Source organism: Homo sapiens, chromosome 7, assembly GCF_000001405.40.
Source record: "Homo sapiens chromosome 7, GRCh38.p14 Primary Assembly".
In the NCBI taxonomy this organism is placed as follows: domain Eukaryota; kingdom Metazoa; phylum Chordata; class Mammalia; order Primates; family Hominidae; genus Homo; species Homo sapiens.
Window position 1 is genome coordinate 125426515 of NC_000007.14, and position 20614 is coordinate 125447128.

Consider the following 20614-nt stretch of genomic DNA (forward strand, 5'->3'; position numbering starts at 1 on the left):
AACCTTTGAAAAGTAAACTGTGACTACATAAATGTGGGCTTACCATGAATAGATTTGTGTTTGTGCTATAAATTGTCCTTTCTGGGATGTTTTTGAATTACCAAGTTTTATATGTGCAATCATCTTTGCAAATTAAAGTGTAGGTTTCTTTAATCAGCTTGTGAAATATTTTATTTTTGTTTTTCCAATACTATCTTACTCATAGAAAGGAACAAAATAAATATATCTGAATTATATTATTTAAAATGCTTAAATGAGAGAATAAGAAAAGGTAGTAAAGGCTCTTCTTAGAAGCTATTTCTGAGTGTTTGTGGTATGTGTAGATCTCTACAAGACATAAAATAATACATCAGGTATACATAAAAAGTAAAATTTTTATATCAGTATAAGTTCTGGGGTGGTTTATGCTTATACTGGGAAGGTTAATTGTATAATGGAAATATGTATTTTCCAGCACTGAAATACAGATTCAAAGCCCAAGTTGAGCCCATATTGTGAAATTGTGACCCTTTTTTTATGTGAGGTTGGCAGCTGTGAATTTATTGTTTCAGACACAAAATGTACTCTGGGTACAGGGCCTATTTATCCACAACATAAACTGAAAACATCAACCAGGAATGCTACAGCAAGTATTTTCAATAACTGCTATTTAGAAAGTCAACTACCACTGTCCCTACAATGCAGTCCTTATCTGTGCTAGTCTTTCTTCATTTATCCTGTTTCATTTCCATTGATCTCCTTCTTTTCCAGTCTACTTATTAATCTTCCTCAAAAAGCAATTACATTAAAAAAGCAAAAAGGTAAATAAATGAAGCAAGACTCATATTCCTATTGACTCATCTCAATATTTAGATTCTGGATGATTAAATCCAGATGTTGTTAAGTTTTTTTTTTTAAAAAAGGAGTTGACCAGGAGTTGGAAAACTGATTATGGCCTCATTGCCTCAAGAAATTAGCTCTTTGACTTGGGAAGAACACTTTTTATTTATGGATCCCATTTCATCATGTTTTGGTATATAAATCTTCTTTCCAGTTCTAAATCTATCATTCTGTAACTCAAAATATCTCAGTCCTCCTCTCTCTGTTTCCATAAGAAAAAAATGTTGACAGGGCCCTGAATCGTTCAGGAAATAGATGGCACTCTCAAAAAAGATAATGAGACAGCCTCAAGGGGCTACTTACAAATATGTGAGCAAAGAAAACCAAAAAACGATGTTGATGCATTCTAGAACTAACTCCAATTTGAAGCCATTATCACACTTAGGCTTGACTAATGATAAACACTAAGGTAAAGAGAAAGAGCAGTTATCAGAGCCTGCAAAGAAAGAGCTTTGGAGAGGGCTGCTCAGCAGGAGCTATGGGCTTCAGTGGAAGTTTGCAGATACTGCCAACTGAAGACTAGTTGAGGGAATACCTCCTTACCTCTCTTTCCTCCCAGTTTGAAATTTCCTGTCAGTTGGTCCTATTGGTTAAACTTAAAAGGAATTAGAAGGCAAGGCATTCCAGTTGATATAGTCTGTACAGGTCAATTTTGTGGGGCATTGAGTGGGGTGGAGAGTAGATTTGGAGTAACTTACAAAGAAAATTCAGCTCAGGGTTATCCTACTAAAAGATGGAAGAGAAATCTGGACACAGTGATGAGTAGATGGTATTTTCTGGCAAATCCTCCTCTTCTGGATGTTAGCAGCCAAGTTCACCATGACTGTAAGCTTTAGCAGGAACTTCATATGTGGCTGAGAGAGGCTGTTCTCACAGACTGGAGAAGGTGGTAAAAAGGAGCAGGGATCAGAAAGAATTTACTTAAGTAATTTTTCCACAATGATTCCTTTTATATATAATTCATCACTTCTTACTTTGTAAGAACAAGTGCTCTAAAGATTACTATCATAACTAACATATTTGATTATCCCCGTGCTCTCCTTTTATAATGAAGTGGATATAAAATGATCAGAACAGGATAATTTTGTAATGAAGAAAAAATTCCATGGGGCATACTTTCCCATCTGTAATTATTCTACAAATATCTACTTTGCATGAAAAACAACACAGTTTTAAGGCATGCAAAGCAGTGTTAATGACCAGCTATATTTCCATAAAATAGATGTCAGGAAAGTATAGTAAGGAATTAAAACCAAATTGAGTTTACAATGAACACCAAAACTGGACTGTCTGCTTTTGAAAAAACTGAGCAGACTGTGTAAAATGAATGAATAAATATGCAGATAGTTAACTATAGCTTATAACATACAGCTAATTCACCAGAAACCTCTTTATTTCTATGTGTTTAAATTTGCTGCTGTAACCACAAGATGCTGTTATTTTAAACATAGATGTCTCAGAAGATCTTTAATGATGAGGTTTTCAATACACTCAAAATTGAGTGCACATTGTAATGCTTGCTGAATTGCAACAAGATGTCTTCACCGTTAATTTTGGGAGCAGCAATATGTAGCTCCAAATCAAGTGGGTGAGCAAAATAAAAACTGGAAGAAATTGATTAGCTCTCGCTTTTCTTTATTTCCCAGGTGACAACATTCATCGCTTTGCTGCTGTACTTAACCCAGCAAAAACGCATCTGATCTCTTAAAAAAATGCCTGCCTTTATGTTGTGAGATAGTCAGGAATTGAAATTTGATTAACCCTCTGCTGAACCAGAATGATTAGAAAGCTTTTCAATTTGAATCCAGTGTTGTACAGGGATTCTACTAAGGTGTAGATGATTTCGTAAAGAACACCAAGGCCTCATTTTGTAGCATATCTTGCTGGAACCCAGATATGAGGTCATCTTGGATTTCATCTGAGGAAATAAAGGGGCATTTCACAATTGATAACATCCTAGATTTTCTAGCATTCTTATCTCCATAAAATTCTTTCATAATCATTATTTTGTTTTACACATAAAATAAATAGGGCAAAGTTTGTTTTATCCATTTGAAAAATCTATGAAAGTGAGACACACTTATTAAATAAGCTAGATTTGCTTTACCTACATAATTTTAACTTGATTGATTCCAGGCACTTGATCATCCACTTCCAGGTTTTCATACTTAATCCACTCAGCATCTCTGTGAATGCAATGCCACCTGCAATACTTTACATGTGAAGAAAATGAGACTCAGAGAGGGAAGATCATTTTTCTCAGTCAATAAGCCTGAGCGACTATTTTCACGTAGCCCTGCATCTCTCAGAGCCTGGACCATTTTCATTATTCTTTAATGTCACACAAAGTACTACTCATAGTAACAAAAACACTTTTACTCTGACACCAGAATAAAGCCACAAAATATGAATATTAAGAGCAAAATCACATTATGCATAATTATATATTTTCTACTTTCTCTAAATTCCTGGTATTTTATTATTTTATTTTTATTTTTTTGCCTTTCAAACTTTAAATTTTTTTAAAAAATAGTAACCTAACTCTCCATCTTTAAAGTAAAGGAAGTAAAACATGTCACTATGCTTTGCCTACTTCTATGTCTTTGGATTAGAAAAAAAAAAAATTGATAGCTAGGGTTTTAAAAACATTGTCCAAAAGGACCATTCTATCACAGTGAGCAACTATTAGCTACTGATATGGTTTGGATTTGTGTCCCCACTTAAATCTCATGCTGAATTGTAATCCTCAGTTTTGGAGGAGGGGCCTGGTGGGAGGTGATTGGATCAAGGGGGCAGATTTACTTCTTGCTGTTCTCATGATAGTGAGTGAGTTCTCAAGATACCTGGTTGTTTAAAAGTGTTTAGCACCTCCCGCTTCTCTTTCTCCCTCCTGTTGTGGCTATGTTAAGACATGTCTTCTTCCCCTTCACCTTCAGCCGTGATTTTAAGTTTCCTGAGGCCTCTTTCCTGTACAGCCTCCAAAACCATGGCCAATTAAATCTCTTTTCTTTATAAATTACCAAGTTTTAGGTATTTCTTTTTTGAGACAGAGTCTCGCTCTGTTGCCCAGGCTGGAGTGCAGTCACATGATCTCCACTCACTACAACCTCCGCCTCCCAGGTTCAAGTGATCCTTCTGCCTCAGCCTCCCAAGTAACTGGAACTACAGGTGCATGCCACCACGCCCGGCTAATTTTTTGTATCTTTAGTAGAGACGGGGTTTCACCATGTTAGCCAGGATGTTCTCGAACTCCTGAGCTCAGGCAGTCTGCCCGCCTTGGCCTCCCAACGTGCTGGGATTGCAGGTGTAAGCCACCATGCCCGGCCTAGGTATTTATAGCAGTGTGAGAATGAACTAATACAGCTACTATTATTAATACATTACATTTTCTACTCTAACCAATTGCAGATAAGTAAAAATTAGGATAACCTTTTTATGAAATGTAAATAATTTTTTTTATTTTAACATGGTTTTCAGTCATACCATATCCCTTAAGCATATTTCCATATTTTTAAATACTTTTACTAGCTAAAAAAAAAAAAAAAAGGTAAATCCTTTGCTTTGACTCAAATATCCATTGCAGAACCCTGGCAAGTTATTAAAAGCCATATTTATTGACTTGTTGAAATTATATTGTTAGCCTTTCATGCATATGAAGAGTAAGAATTATTGGTAATGAACTTTTCAAGTAAAAAATATTCTTTGCTAACCATGGACTAGGCATCAACAGAGAGTGCAAAAACTACACAGTGGAACAAATTATGTGTGCATATGAGGTAATTTATCTTGGATACATGTGATTTTCAATGTATCATCTGTTGAATTAACTCCTAAAATTTATGATTTATGTCATAAATACACTTAATAAGAAAGAAACTTTTAATTTAACTCTCTCCCGATGGCTAAGATTGAATACATTCATACCAAATTGTTTTCCTCTTCTTCCTGATTACAGAGCTAGAGCATATTTGCCTGCCACAGTTAGTTTTGTGTTTCCATGGAATTTGAGCAAAACTGATGCACTTGTCTCCCAGGATTAATCCATACAAGTCACCTCTAAAATTATCTTTTCCCATTCGTTGACTGAGCAAAATGGACTTCAAGGACCTAAAGGAGGTTAAATACCACAAGATGGAGGAGCTTGAGTCTCTGAATCATTGTGTGTGAAGTCATCTGCCAATTACATAAATTGAATTCTTGGTGAGTGTGAAGTACACAAGTAGCCATGTAATTTTGGAATGAATGTTACAGAAATTTACTTACCCTGCCTAATACACTCCTACCATTTCAATTAATTAGTTCTACTGTATGTTTAATGGGATGAAATGTATGTATATGTTTTTATTCTCTATTTTCTATTGTTATGCATAGCATATAAATTTCTAACATAAGCGTAACTATTGAGTCCTTTTAACATTGTTCCATATGGTTATGTAACAACATTTTAATGCTTAATAGTAATGAAGAAAGGAGTTCACAGTCATAGTTTATCTTGTTCTTAAGTTTTCATCTATGTATTCAAGTGACGGGATGCTAACTCCAGTTCTTGCCACATAAAGTGCAATATCTTTAAAAGTTACTTGATCAACCAATTGTACTTCTAAATCACTTAGTGGTTTTATCTGAATAAAAGATGTGTGTGTCCCTGTTCGGCCTTCTGTTTCATAGTATTCTGCAATCTCTACCATATACTCGATATATTCCTCAACTCTCCCACATTTTGTTCCTATTTGCAGAAAACATTGTGGAAGCTCTTTAAGTTTCTCAAAACTTCTAGTTAAAAACCAAAATAAAATACACATGTTTTCTATATAGCTCTCATATGTATTTTTTCACATTTATTTATTTTTAAATTGACATATACAATTGTTTGTTTTTATCACGTACCACGTAATGTTTTGAAGTACACATATGTGGTAAATACATAAACTTAGCTAATTAAAAAATGTATTATCTCATGGTATATACACACAACCAGATTGTTATTCAGCCATAAAAGGAAGGAAATCCCATAGTTTGTGACAACCTGAATGAACATCATGTTAATGAAATCAGTCAAGCATGGAAAGACAAACATGGCATGATCTTATTTAAATGTGGAATCTAAAAAATCTGATCTCATATATTTTGATGTCTTCCATTTGGCTTTTCCAGCTGATAAAATTTTGAATTTGTTAAGGACATTTTCCCTTTAATACAATAACAGTCCTGATTCTCAGCTAAAAATGTCTTACAAACTTGACTTATCTTTCCTCTTTAAAATAGCTGGCACTAAGCTCTGAGTTCTGTTTATTGACAGAAGCCTAAGGATTTCAGACATCTTAAAAATGTTCCAAGTTCTTTAAAATCTTCATCCAGAAGATTCTACACAATTATTAAGATGATCATAATGATTCATTGTAATAATTCTCACTGTCTTTCATGTAATAATTATCTTGCACGTGATAAATATAAAACATTGTAGACACATCTATTTTACTCTCTTTCTATTTTGCTACCTTATTTATGGGGGCTGTTAGATATGAATATTCCAGGAATAGTTTATAATACAGGGAAAAGGTATCCCATACTATGCAGCAAGTAGGTTGAGAAAGGGTAATCACTTCTCTTCCCTGACCATGTTGACTTCATTATGTAGAAGTGCAGTACAGTTGCATGCACCAGACTCTGGATGTGCTGAGTGTCAGCACTATACTCCATCTACGAGGCTTTGCTACAGGAGGAGGTGAATTTTATTAAGTAGAAACCGTGGTAAATCAACTCACAAAGATATCACAACACGGATTTCAGATTCGCCATTTCATACATTTGGGTACTTGATTGGGGATGAAGAATTAAGCCCTCACATATTGCAGATATGATTCAAAAGAATCCCCTGATTACTATGTTGAAAGTGGAGTTCAGTAATTGCTAAATTTGGGCATTGTTGGGCCTTGCCAAAATGTGAACTCTTTGAAACTGGAAGTAGGGTAGACAATAAGGATGCCTAAACACACCAGAAATGGGATTCCAGAAATCAGCTTTTGGAATAGTGACTAACATGGGAAATACAGAACTCTGAGGAGTGATTCTAAATGTCAGTCTGAGGACAAGAGTCAGGATAATTGCACTCAAATCATTTGGAAATGTGTCAAAGATTCCCTATCCTCAGTCCAAAAGATTTTTATGAACTCAATGGAAGAGAGAGATAGATATTCATTTTAATGAAGATGTAATGGGTGGTCTAGAGAGCTAAGAGGAATGTTTGCTAAGCACATCATCCTTATAAAAGAAAAAAAAATTTGATTTGCAAAGATGACCCTTAACCATTTATATTGCCAAAACAACAAGGTTTCTCTGTGTCTAAGCAAAACAAAATTCTGAACATGGGTAAAAGGGAAGTGTGTAATCTAGTTGATTTCACTTTATGTCCAGGTGCTCAAAAAATCAGTTCTGTAAATATTATAGAAAGTCAAGAAACATTTAAATTGTGTGTTAGAATCGTAACATGCCCATACAAATGCCCCCATCTGTTTTATTTTAACCTTTAATAACTGTTAGATAAAACACTATTTCTCTGTTTTCTGGCTTAAATTATTGAATATTAACAGACTGATGATATAAAGGAATTGGAAGTCAGGATTTTGTTCACTTATCTCTTAATGGATGATGTGAATCTGACAGACCATGGCATTTTTTTTTTTGTCTCATTGATTCTCTCTTTAAAGATTTTTCTTTTGCCCTAATTCCTAAGCTCTATTGCTTTCTACCAGCAATGGCACTTAGTTTACAAATAGAATGGTTTTACTTTTATATAAATGTTCCATTATTTTCTGGGCTATGTTGTAAGCATTAATAGTTATGTTGTTTTCTTATGTCTTAACACTCATGATGAAAATTTCTGAAACAATTGAAAAGGTTTGCACTATATCTTATACTACCCCTTATTTTTTCTTATTTTCTGCCCTGTTTTTCTCCTCTTTCCTTTTTCTCCTGCCTTCCTTCTCAAATTTTCTTTCCTTTCTCCTTCTATTTTTCCCCTTCATTGCTACATAGGCAACAAATTGGCCTTAAATTTGATATACAAGGATGAGTGAAGGTTTCCCTTAATGCTTTTAATCTCAAGTGAGAATGATAAAATAATGAACAGATGAAGCAGCTTATAATAAATGTATTGTAGGAGACCTAGTTTAAGCCGAAGCTTAGGTCAGTTTATGGTTGTCTTCATGAAATTAATATTTACTTGGGGAACAAAGCAACCTCCTGAAAAATAACTCATTCCTAGTGCAATGTAAATGGGTTTCATGTCATTGACTAGGTGCATAAACGTAGGCTGGAAGAGACTAGTGATGTCGAATACTACTGGGTGTTTTTCAGCACATTCTTCCCTAATAATGAAACTTCAGACTACATTTAAGATCTAACTTACTAAAGACATGAGTGACATGAAGCTGATTTAGGCCATTGGGAAACAATGTAGATAATATAATAAGGTATAGGAGAGGTAATCTGTTAATCACTTGCAGAATGCCTAATCCTCATGTTTAGGGAGGAAGGGCACATTCGACAAGAACGAAAAGTATTAAACGCATGATTTTAAAAGGTGGCAGGGTTTTCCTGTCTTCCTGTCTCAAATTAGTACCCCTACACATTACATTTTTTTAAGAATTACTGGAATAGGTATGGCCAGTGAGGTGAGAACCAGCAGGAAACTTCGAAATTTATGATTATAGAAATGTGAAGTAGAGTTTCATTGTAAGTCTTAAAAATATGATTGTTTATGAGAAGACAACTAGAAAAATCCAAGTGTCAGACAGGGATGCATGTGTGTAATATTAAGCATTGAGTTAATATTTTTTTCCTGTGCAGTTCAACAGAATTGGTTTCACTGATCACTGCGTCTCTTTAATAGAGGGCCTCTATCCGAAAGGATTTTATGAATCAAAGTATATTAGGGAAAGTCAGGACCAGAATATTGTATCCCAGTTGGTCACTGTCTCAAGTTTGAAAAAGTTCCCTGGTGCTGAAATTTAACTTGGAGACAGTGCACATTTCTGTGACTGTGACCATTGCAGTATAAGTAAGGATCAATAATGTCCACAGTGGTGTACCTATAATGGAGCACTATAGAGTGAGAATCTATGACAGAATCTATGTAGAATGTTGCCACTATAGAGTGAAATTCTCTGATTTTATTAAATTGAAAGAAAAGTTGCTTCTGTAAGTGTCAATGGAAAATATACATACACCACAAGCTCCCGGAATATGCATAATCCTGGGGGGTGTTAGGAAACCAAGTAGTAGCAGCCTCAAGAAGTGGAAGAAATGCCAGCCATAACTATCATACATATAAAATGTATTCTAATGTTGGAATATGCAGAAGATTAGACCAGGGCATTATGTAGTTTCCTAAGAGCTATTCACAGAATGGTGTCTACAGAGTGTCATTATTCCAGAATAGCTCTTTGGAAATGAGTTAATCTGTGATATAGCCAGTTACTGGCTGTCATCTGTCAAACCCTCTGAATTTCATGGGTAGGTATTTTGTTGCATGACTTAGTGCTGTTGAAAAATCCAGATTATCATCTAGCTAGAAAATATAAAGGAATAGGAGAGGCATACATTCCTTCTCTCCACTACAGTAGAAACTTGGAAATTAGAACACTCCGGTAGAAACATATATGTAGAAGGAAGAGGATTGGGTTATCAGTATCTCTAGTGAATACAGTCAAAAGATAATGCATCTGTCTTGTTGGCTGTTGGTAAATGAGAATGCTGGGTTCTGAGATTTAATTATTTCTTCTTTACCTATAACCATTGCTTACAGTTGGGTGTCACTCATAAAAAGAAGGAAGAAACTATCACTGTGATCTCGCTCCCAGTGTGGGCCCTGCAATGCCTTGTGGGCACTATTATTGTCTGATTCAAGAAATGGAGTCAGTTGTAAGTTTTCCTAACAGGGTTATAAAACTGAAGTTAATTTTCAAGGAGCAAACATTGGTCTTGTGTGTGACACACACACTACTCATTAACTAGCTGAAAGAAACCCTGAAGGCTGCACTGTGGTACTTCCAGTTTCAAGTGAACAATCCAGCCAAAGTATGCACAGAGGAAGCTGGGACCAATAAGCAAAAATCAAATCTGTAGCAATGAGAAAATAAATACCAGTGAAAGACAACTACTTGAGTGGAGCCTCAGGAAATGGCATGAAGGAAGGGATGGTATCTATAAGACCTTCTTTTAAAGAATTTGAAGTGTCGTTTAATACTAAGTCCCTGCCAAAAGAATAAATATTTTGATGTTTAAAATAATTTAAAAAACAGTTTTATTCTAAGTTTAATATTAGAAACAAGAGACCATCTGTCTTAACCTAATGATTAACAAACGATTAATAAACTACAACATCTAGTTTATTTTTTATATATTAAGTGCATTTATTTTTATTTTATTTTTTTAATTTTCAAGTTATTTAAAAAATTGTGGATATACAGTAAGTGTATTTATGGGTTACCTGAGATGTTTTGAAATAGGCATGCAATCTGAAATAAGCACTTCATGGGGAATGGGGTAACCATTCCCTCAAGTGTTTATCTCTTGAGTTACAAACAATCCAATTACATCCTTTAAGTTATTTTAAAATATACAATTAAGTTATTATTGACTATCATCACCCTACTTTGCTATTAATAGTAGGTCCTATTCAGCCTTTCTAACTATTTTTGGACACATTAACCATCCCCACCTCCCCACTGCCCAATGTTTTCTCGGAGTAGTTTTATAGTTTGAGGGCATAGATTTAAGTCTTTAATCTATTTTGATTTGATTTTTTGTATATGGTGAGGGGTAGAGGTCTCGTTTCATTCTTCTGCATATAAATATCCAGTTTTCCCAGCACCACCTATTGAAGAGACAATCTTCTCCCCAGTATATGTTCTTTGCGTCTTTGTCAAAAATAAGTTTATTGTAGGTGTGTGGATTTGTTTCTAGGTTCTCTATTCTGTTTCATTGGTGTATGTATCTATTTTTATGCCAGTACCATGCATTTTTGGTTACTATAGCTCTGTTGCATAATTTTAAGTCAGGCAATGTGATGCCTCCAGCTTTATTCCTCCTGCTTAGGATAGCTGTGGCTATTCTGGGTCTTTTTTGTTTCCATATAAATTTTAGGATTTTTTTTCTATTTAAGAATGCCATTGGTATTAACATATAGTTTAAAAACAAAACATATCAGAGAGCTGAGGCCACAAACATTCCTAAATGAACTGAAATCCAAAAAGTGACACAACTGTCATAAAAGACTGGGCTGTCAGCTCTAACAGAACTTCAGAGGAATTTCACCCATTAAGTCAGATAGGGGAGTGGTGAAGGGGGAGTAGAAACTAGCTAACATTTAACAAACTCGTGATAGTTTCGTGTGTGTGTGTGTGTGTGTGTGCGCGCGCGTGCCCCACGTAGCCAGATTGATTATTAGAAGGTATTAGAAGGGCTCCTCTGGCAGAACCAGTTTTCATCTACTCAACAACCTCTTACTCATGGGTCTTTATATAACTTAGGTGAAAGTATGTCCATAGGGGAACAGAAAAGAAAGCTGAGAAAGATGTGCCAGGAGACTTGTGGGAACTAATCCAAGTGCAACACCTCCTTACCACAAAGGAAAAGGACAGGGTAAAGGAAATTGGAAAAACCCATAAGATGTATTTGAGGTTCTTTCTATTCCAGGGAATTCTTGGTATGATAGGACATGAAAGCTGAGAGAAAACCCTTCTACCTAGGAACTCCGGAGTTTCAACTACCAGAGACTGAAGGCAGGAGAGAAAAACTAAGACAAATGACTTCAAAGCCTTTCTGAAATGCCACAGAGGGTCAGGATTACAATCTGCCTATTCTGATTCTTCTACTATGGGAAAAAATCTTTTTCAGAATTGGTAAGTTTATTTATCAATTCAATATTCATTTCATCAGGCATATACGTTGTGGCAGGTTATTATTCAAAATGCAAAAATATAGTAAATTATCTCTACTTCAAATGTGTAAGATTTAATTACAAATATGATGTACTGTTTAATACATTAATGGTAAATTAAAATTTGGGGCAAGGACAAAAAGGAGGGCACAGTCAAATAATAGGTTAGTCAGAAAATGCCTGGGCAGAAAGTGATATTAAAGTCGAATCTTGATGAATAAATAGAATTTTCTTCAATGGAGAAGGGTAACTTAGCACATTAAATAAAGAGAGGAATACATTGATTTGCATATGTTGTTTTGATATTACCATTTTGATGCAATCAAAGTTTTTATTTCACCATTTTTATTCTAAAATATTTGAAATTAAGTTTTTGGATATCAACATTAGTATCAGAATTTCACAATGATACATTTTATTTCAAAGAAAATGGTTGAGTTTTTTTTAATAACATGGTATTTTCATGTTGTATACAAGAGAGTTAAAATATATCTATATTTTCTGCTTTTATATGTATTCTTCTGGATTGGGCAGAATCAGTAGAGGTAATACAATAGGGTTTAAATGATGATATTTAAATATTCTTTTTGGATAAAGATGTGGAAATATAAAACTGTATGTCAAGTTTGGATAATTGCAACTTAGAGTTAGAAGGCTATTTCCATAATAGCTGTAAAAGGTAATAGACTATACAATAACAGCAAGAGTACTGATGGGAAGGAAAGTATACATTCAAGTATTATTTAAGAGGTAAGTCATAATAGATCAAATCCTAATAGGTGTTGATGGAAAAATAGAGTAAGTAATTTATAAAGACTCAGAAATATGGTACCTGAATAATACATGATGTTAACATCAACAACAACAATATTGGGTGCAACAATTAGAATTAACTGTATACTTCCTATTTATCTAGCATTATCATATGTGTTATACAATCTAATTAACTATTTATCTAGCATTATCATATGTGTTATACAATCTAATTTAATTATTACAACTCCATGAGGAGTTGTAATATTTACTATTATTATTTTTATTTTTTAAATGAGGAAACAAATGCAAAATGATTAACTTTTCAAAGTTAATGTTGTAATCATTCACTTACCCAGCATTTGAATAAGCCAGAGTTGAATGACTAACTTCCAATATGATAAAGTTCTTAATTATATGCTATATACATATGTGTAGCAGAGAAGAAACAAAAAAAATTAACCTGCTATTATAAGAAGCTTACAACTACAAAATTTTATTGTTCTATTATGTTTTGATATGTTCATATATTCTAAAATAACTATTAAGAAAATATTTAGGTTTTGAGAAATAATTTTAAATATTTTCTTAGATTTTCTTTTAAAGTGGGTATCCTCCTCTCCACAACAATGGGTAAGAAGAAAATAAGACTGTTTTCATAACAGAAAACTCAGCAGTTAAGACTGAATAGCAATGTCTGAGAAAATAGCCTTGGAAACAAAACTGATTTAATTTTTTGTTTAGTGAAATGATAGGATAGTCTTTAATTGGATGATAAAATATACTACTGTGTTTCCATATTTTCCAATTAAAGTTCTATATATAAATATAATCCAAAGGCAAACCCACACTGACCTCTAATATTATTAAAAGTCATGAGTAATGTGAAAATTTTCCTCCAAACCTCTTAATAATGAAAGTCCAGTGCAAAAACTAATACTGCTAATGGAAAAATTTTAAGTTCTAATCCCAAAAGGTAACTTTTTTTTTGAGAGACAGCATATTTTACATAATATCTAAAATAACATCGCTATACACTACAGTAGCTTAAAAATGTGCATTTTCAGTAGCTCTCCTCAATTCCAAAGTGAGAATGTCTGAGTTGCAGCTAGCCACCCCACTATCAGCTTTACTTACTGAGAAGTTTGGATTAGTCCAGGGCAATCCATCATCTCTTATGGAAATCAGCTTGAAACTCACATCTTTCCAAACTTGGGAGGGGCAGCGGGGTTGTAGCTGTAAAAGATCATTTCTAGATATGAAGAGCAGTCAGAACATTATATTCTAGGACTACTAAATCAGTATTAATATTCCAAACTGAATTCACTGTCTTCTTTCCCCAAATTTTTCTACTTTAAAGCAAATTTTCTTTAGTAGTGTCACCATTATCCTAGGTATTTTGGTACGAGAGTATTGTATGGTTTTGACAAGTCCCTCATATTTCTGTTTTACCTCAAAGCTGTTGCCAAGTCCTATCAATCTTATATTTTTGATGCATTTTAGCTGACCCATCCTGTTTATTGACAGTGTTGATAACTTAATTCGGCCTCAGTGTCTCACACTTAAACTATTGCAATAGCATCGCAATTATTTTCCTCATTGACTGTATTCCTTTTCCTGAGTATTTTATAGATGCCAAATTGATCCTTCTGAAATAGAACATAGATTGTGTCAGATCAATAGATTCCAGAAGTCTTTAGAATAAGTTCAAACTCCCCAATTTAGCATTCAATGCCTTCCAGACACTGCTCAGAATATGGCTTTCTGTACATAGTTCCTATTGGTGTCTCAGGAACCCTACCAACCGAAGTGAAATACAAACTCTTCCCACATTTTGGTGGTTGACCAATTTTTTTTTTTTTCAAATTGACTTTCTTATTCTTATCATTTTCCTCTCTTAGTATGACAATCTCTGTCAATCTACATTTAATATCTTATCTATTCTTAAAGATTCATCCTATATACCATCTAACTATTGTTAATTCTATCATTTGGAAATAATATATTCTTAGCTGAAACTCACAAAACTACTTTCTTCCTCTCAAAGTATTTATAACAAGGTCTATATTTATCTGATGGACTTTACATCATTATAGTTCATCACAGAGTATTTTTTATTTTGTAAGCATTCAATAAATATAAAAATGGATTTTTGTATATCAATAGAAAAACTCATGGGGAAAGAGAGAAAAGTCATATTATAAGCAATAGAGAATCAATAACTGAATTCTGACAGCTGAGTTGTATTGGCTCTGCAGCTACTGAGACAAGAAGGGGTCATTAAACTTCCTGAACTTTCTTTTTTCTCCATGCATTACTATATATGATATTCTCCAACTCTCCATTATGCAAAACCATAACAGCTAGGTAAATACAATGATGAGACTCATTGACACCTGATTTGTGGTAGAACGTGACTTATGAAGGAGTAGTAAGTCAGAAAACTTTAGATTTGTGACAGCCAATAACAAAATAACATTACCCCTTCTTCAAACATTTTGTGAAAAACCAGCTCTTTAAATTCTCTCAAAGATAAGTGTTAAAATTTCTTAATGTTAATGGCTTGCACATAATAATGTCCTGATTGAATAATCTTCTCTCTTCCTCAATACACTGAAATAAATGGGATATACGCAGTCTGTACATGTAGTCCTACTACAGATTTTTGTGTACCTATCAGTAAAGGGTAAACTTCGTTGTTATCAGTCAATTTTTCTAGTCTAAACAATTCAAAACCAGCCTAAATAACAGTAGTAACTCATTCTAGTTCCAAAATAAAATCTTCAAGTTTTATTTTATGCATGCCCAGACTGTAAAGGCATGGGAACAGAAGTGCAGTGCAGTTTCTAAAAACAATGTAAAAAACTGTACAAAGAAAAAATCCCGTAAATGCTTGTATACTATGAATAGATGATTCTATTCAGTTGCATCACTAGATATCATAGAGCTTATTGTCCTGGGACACCTTTCAAGATTAGCCGTTACCTATGTCCTGATACCTTATTACGACTTGCTATGATTCAAACATGTCTTCTCCAAGATCTAGGTACCCTCATGGCCTAACCATCATTTAACAGCCTCATCTCTTAATAGTATCACATTGCAACACATGAATTATGGAGAGTAGTTAAAACCCACACAAAAGAGGCTGCAAGCCATTTTTGGCTTGGTTGCTTTTTCACTGTCTGCCATGCGAGGACACAGTATTCTCCCCGCCAGAGGACACAGCATCCAGGAACCATCTTGGAAGAAGAGAACAGTTCTCACCAGAAAACCAAACCTGCTAGGACCTTAATCTTGGACTTCCTAGTCTTCAGAAGTGTCAGAAAATAAATTTCTGTTCTTTTTTTTTTTTTTTTTTGGAGACAGGATCGCTCTGTCCCCCAGGCTGGAGTGCAGTGGCGCGATCTCGGCTCACTGCAAGCTCTGCCTCCCGGGTTCCATTCTCCTGCCTCAGCCTCCTGAGTAGCTGGGACTACAGGCGCCCGCCACCACGCCCGGCTAATTTTTTTTCGTATTTTTAGTAGAGACAGGATTTCACCGTGTTAGTCAGGATGGTCTCAATCTCCTGACCTCATGATCCACCCATCTTGGTCTCCCAACATGCTGGGATTACGGGCTTGAGCCACCGCGCCCGGCCCTAAATTTCTGTTCTTTATAAATTACCCAGTCTGTGGTACTCTGCTGTAGCAGCACAAAGACCTCCCACCACAAACACATTAGTATGCATTTCACACACACACACAAGGACATTCTCCTACATAACCACAATACAAAGCATCAAAATAAGAAAATTAACATTGACACATTACTATCACCTAAATTTCATCCTTCATTGAAGTTTTGCCAGATTCTCCAATAATGTCCTGTATAAGGAGAGAATCTAGCTCAGAATTTTGTGTTGTCTTTTGTTGTCATGTGTCTTTAGGCTTATTTTCTCTTGAGCTCAGTATTTCTTTGACATTCATGGCTTTGACGCATTTGAGAATTATATGCCTGTTATTTTATATACTGTCCCTTACTTTCGGTTTATGTGATGTTCTTTATAATTAGATTCAAGTTATGCATCCTAGGGAGTATTATTACAGAAGGGATGTTTTCTTCTTATTGCACCCAATTGGCACATGAATTTGACATGTTCCATTACTGATGGTGGCCACTTTCATCATTTAAGTAAGGTGTTATGTTCCGGGTCTTTTCCTGTGAAGTTACTAATTTTGCCCTGGTGATCAATCAGTATTAGAAACTATATAAATAAAACCATCACTCAATATCTAAGAAAAATGGTTCCAGGACCTCCTGCAGACACCAAAATCCATGGATGCTCAAGTCCCTGATATAAAATGGCATAGTATTTGCATATAATCTACAAACTTCCTACTGTATACTTTAAATCATATCAATTAATATACTACTTATAATACCTGATACAATATAAATGCTACTTAAATAGTAGTTATACCATATTGTTTAGAAAATAATGCCAAACAAAAGTCAGTACATATTCAATACAGGTGAAAAACATTTTTTTCAAATATTTTTGATCACTGGTTTGTTGAATCCACGGATGTGAAATCCATGGATATGGAGAGCTGACTGCATTGCTCATCAATTTTTAAGTAGTTAATTAATTTTATGAAAACACTTGGTTTTCTATTTTATTCAATGGTTTATAATGTTCCTACCATTATATATATTAATACTCAAATTGCACCAAATTTGGCCAGTGAAAATCCTTTCAATCTAGCTACCATGACCTTCTGGCATGTCTCCGTCAGTTTTTTGAGCACTTTTTTGCATTCTGATCAAACTCAATGCAACCTCTTCTTATACATCTTATACTGCCCCTGCCATCAAATCAGCCATATATCCATACAGGTTATCTTTTTTTAGTGGAAAATAATATTTAAAGACCAATCTATATATTAGCTGTGTCTCATTACTATTGGATGAGAGATAAAGAAAAGATAGGAGAGAAAGAGGAAGGGAGGAAAGGAAGAAGACAGACTGAAAAAGAAATCCATGAGTTTGCATCAATTTTCCTGCAACAAATATTTTATTTAAAAAATTTCCATAATTATAACTCCCTTCTCTGACCATACAAATCTTGCCTTTTAATTCTCTTAATATATTGTTATTTATTTGAATTCTATCCTATATAAACAATCTCCTTTTACTGTTTAATGTGCTGCCTTTACAGCACGGACACCCTCCTCACCCTGTTTAAGATCTTACATCTCACATCAGGTCACCCCTCATTGTGAACATCCTTCTCACACTAATGGGCATTGGCACTGTTGCCTGGCTGTCCCTTCACACAGACATCCTCCTTGTATGTTTCATAGGTACTCTAAAACTGTGGAACAGTGATTGTATATGGCTTAATTTCTATTTTAAAAAGACTTCAGGCGGTATAAAACAGAATCAATAAGAATCTAGAAACGTGTGGTTCTAGCTATCTCTACAGATTTATCTCCTTGGCTATCTTAATAGAAACCTTCTATTCTAACTATTACCCTCTGAATAAACTATAAACAGTCTTCCTACTGCATTTCCCCCAATCTGCCTGCAATGCTTGCTTCACTACTTTCTGCTTATTCAAATGCAACTCTCCTTCAAGTCTACTCACTTAGCTTGGCTCTTACAATTATGCCAGGCCATTCCCTTTCCTGAAGATGTCCTTCTCACTCTGCTTGGCCCCTCATGTAACTTGAAAATTATTTTGAGTTCTCAGTCATTTTGTGAACTCCTAAAGCACTTATTAGTACTATCACTTATTGGACCTTTTGCATACTCTACCTTTAGTTTTTCCTGTTTTTTTTTCCTTTCTTTGAAAATCTCTTATCTTCCCAATTATTCCTTAAGCTCTTTGGGAACATAAATTCTGTATAATAATTCTTTATATCCTTACAGTTTAAACATATTGCTTTACATTGGGGAGACCCTTGAAATACTTGCAAGTGAACTGAACAAATACTCATAGTCATAATTCTGTTAGTCATAAAATAAATACCTGAGACTCACGGTGATTCTCACTTAAAAGTTGTTGGAAGAAATGTAAAAATAAAGACTGCTCAAGAAGATATTTTTACAAATCTTGGACAATGTGTTGCTTGTTGTATGTGAGGGAGTAATTGACTTAGAAACATCTTGAAAATGTAGTAACATTTAAAGTTAGCAGCCAGCTACAAAGCTAAAGGCCACTGCTTAATAGCACAGGAGAGAGCTACAGGTATATTGCTCTTTTAAAAAATCTGTAGATGTAGACTCATGGTACCCACTTAACAACTCTTTGAAAAATAAATGAATAAGAGAAAAATGTGTAATGAAAAGATCCTAGCATCAAATGGTGATATTTCTGAAGCAATGCATTGAAATCTTTTGGGATGTGGTCCAGCTTGTCAGTCATCTTCAATGTTAGTGAAAGTCAAATCTAAATTCCAGAAGCTAAGGAAAATAGAATAATCTAAAATTAACCAAAAGAATGTATTGAAACAACTCCAAACATCATGTGCTGTTCTTTACAGGAGGTTTCAGAGTTAAAGTGGAAAAAGAGTTTATTGAACAGAATGTAATGGGAAAGAGAAGAAACAAAAAGGATCGTTGAATTTATTGAGTTTTGCTCAGCTTGACCTTGTGCACAATATATTGTAACATTAAAAAATACATTTGGAGTATTCTAGACTGGCTTCTGAAAAACCAAATTGATTGTAATATTGAATGAAAATTCTAGAAACCAATGTTCTCTAATGCGACAGCCATGGTCAAATGGTAATGTGAATTCAAATTGCTGCTTCCCTAGAATTTCACTTGAGCCATGTACTTATCACTTTATCTTCTCACACCTCATCTACATATGATTGCAAAAACAGTGTAAAGTGAAAATTAGCAAAACAGTTTGAAATATAGCTGAAATGTCAGGGAGACAGCAGCAAATGAACTGTGACAACAATTGAGTGTAAATTTATTGATGTTGAAAAGGATAGCATTTCAAGGAAAACAAGACAGAAATGCTTGCAGAGAGCCGCAAATGAAGCCTTAATAGCTCATGGAAAATAGAAGAAAGCTCAAAGGAAAATGCTACTGCTGAAATGAGCCCATGAAGAAGAGGACTGTAATTGAGATAACAGGCAAATGACTCAAACGTGCTGAAGCTGAAGCATAAAGAGTTTTGTAAAATGTAGGGTACACAGAGAAGGTTATAGTAACTCTTCACATATGAACTGAGATGATAAAATAATAAAATTGATTGCATAAGTTGAATACTATTCAGTCATTCATTCAAACATACTTATGTAGTTTGCCAAACTTCAGTGTGAGTTGTGAAGATATTTCATTAAAAAACATTGCCTTTATGGAGCTTACACACTAGTGTTGCTGTAGGAAGAAGATAGCACATAAATCCTTGATGAACGGTTGTAGTGATGAAAGTTCTGTAGAAAAAGACAAAACAGATGAAGGAGCTAGTGAATAAAGGGTTGGGGAAGGTGCGTTGAAATGGTAGTCAGGCAAGGTCTCACTGATAAGATGACATTTCTTCAGAGACAATTGTCAGTAATAAGAGTAAAAGAGCAAAGTAGGGAACCTGGGGAAGAGCATGACAAAGACAGGGATGGGCACAAAAGCTCAAGAGCTCCAAGGAAGCATGTCTGCTGCATTCAGGAAATATCGAGGAGCCAGTACTAATTAGTCCAGTGTTACCTGATGTGAGAGAGCTCTGCGTGTCATATACATGTTGTATATTTGAGTGTCAAATAACATTATATATAATATACCAAACACTTATTTAGCATCAATTGAGTCCAAATACTAGAACAGATGAAGAATTCCCTTTAGAGTAAGTAAAAACAAAATGTCATGAGTGATACAATGTTTTTTTTCTCTCTCTCTCTCCCTATCCCTCCCTCCCTCATCCCTCCCTATTCGCACACATGAACAGACATACACAAACAAGTGTGTAAGAAATAGCTAATTTTATATCTCTCTCTGAAACAGAGAAAGATGCAACTGCTTTTGTAAGTAGGATTTAATTATAAGAAA

The 20614-nt window shown here is 34.6% G+C and overlaps 1 long non-coding RNA gene across 1 annotated transcript in view; it reads left to right on the forward strand.

Moving 5' to 3' along the window:
- Positions 1-11354: 11354 nt before the first annotated feature.
- LOC100506664 (uncharacterized) overlaps positions 11355-20614 on the forward strand; it is a 28907-nt gene continuing 19647 nt past the window's right edge. Inside the window, exon 1 of the long non-coding RNA XR_927932.2 lies at positions 11355-11783. This is a non-coding gene — a long non-coding RNA (uncharacterized LOC100506664). The remainder of the gene's footprint in view (positions 11784-20614) is intronic.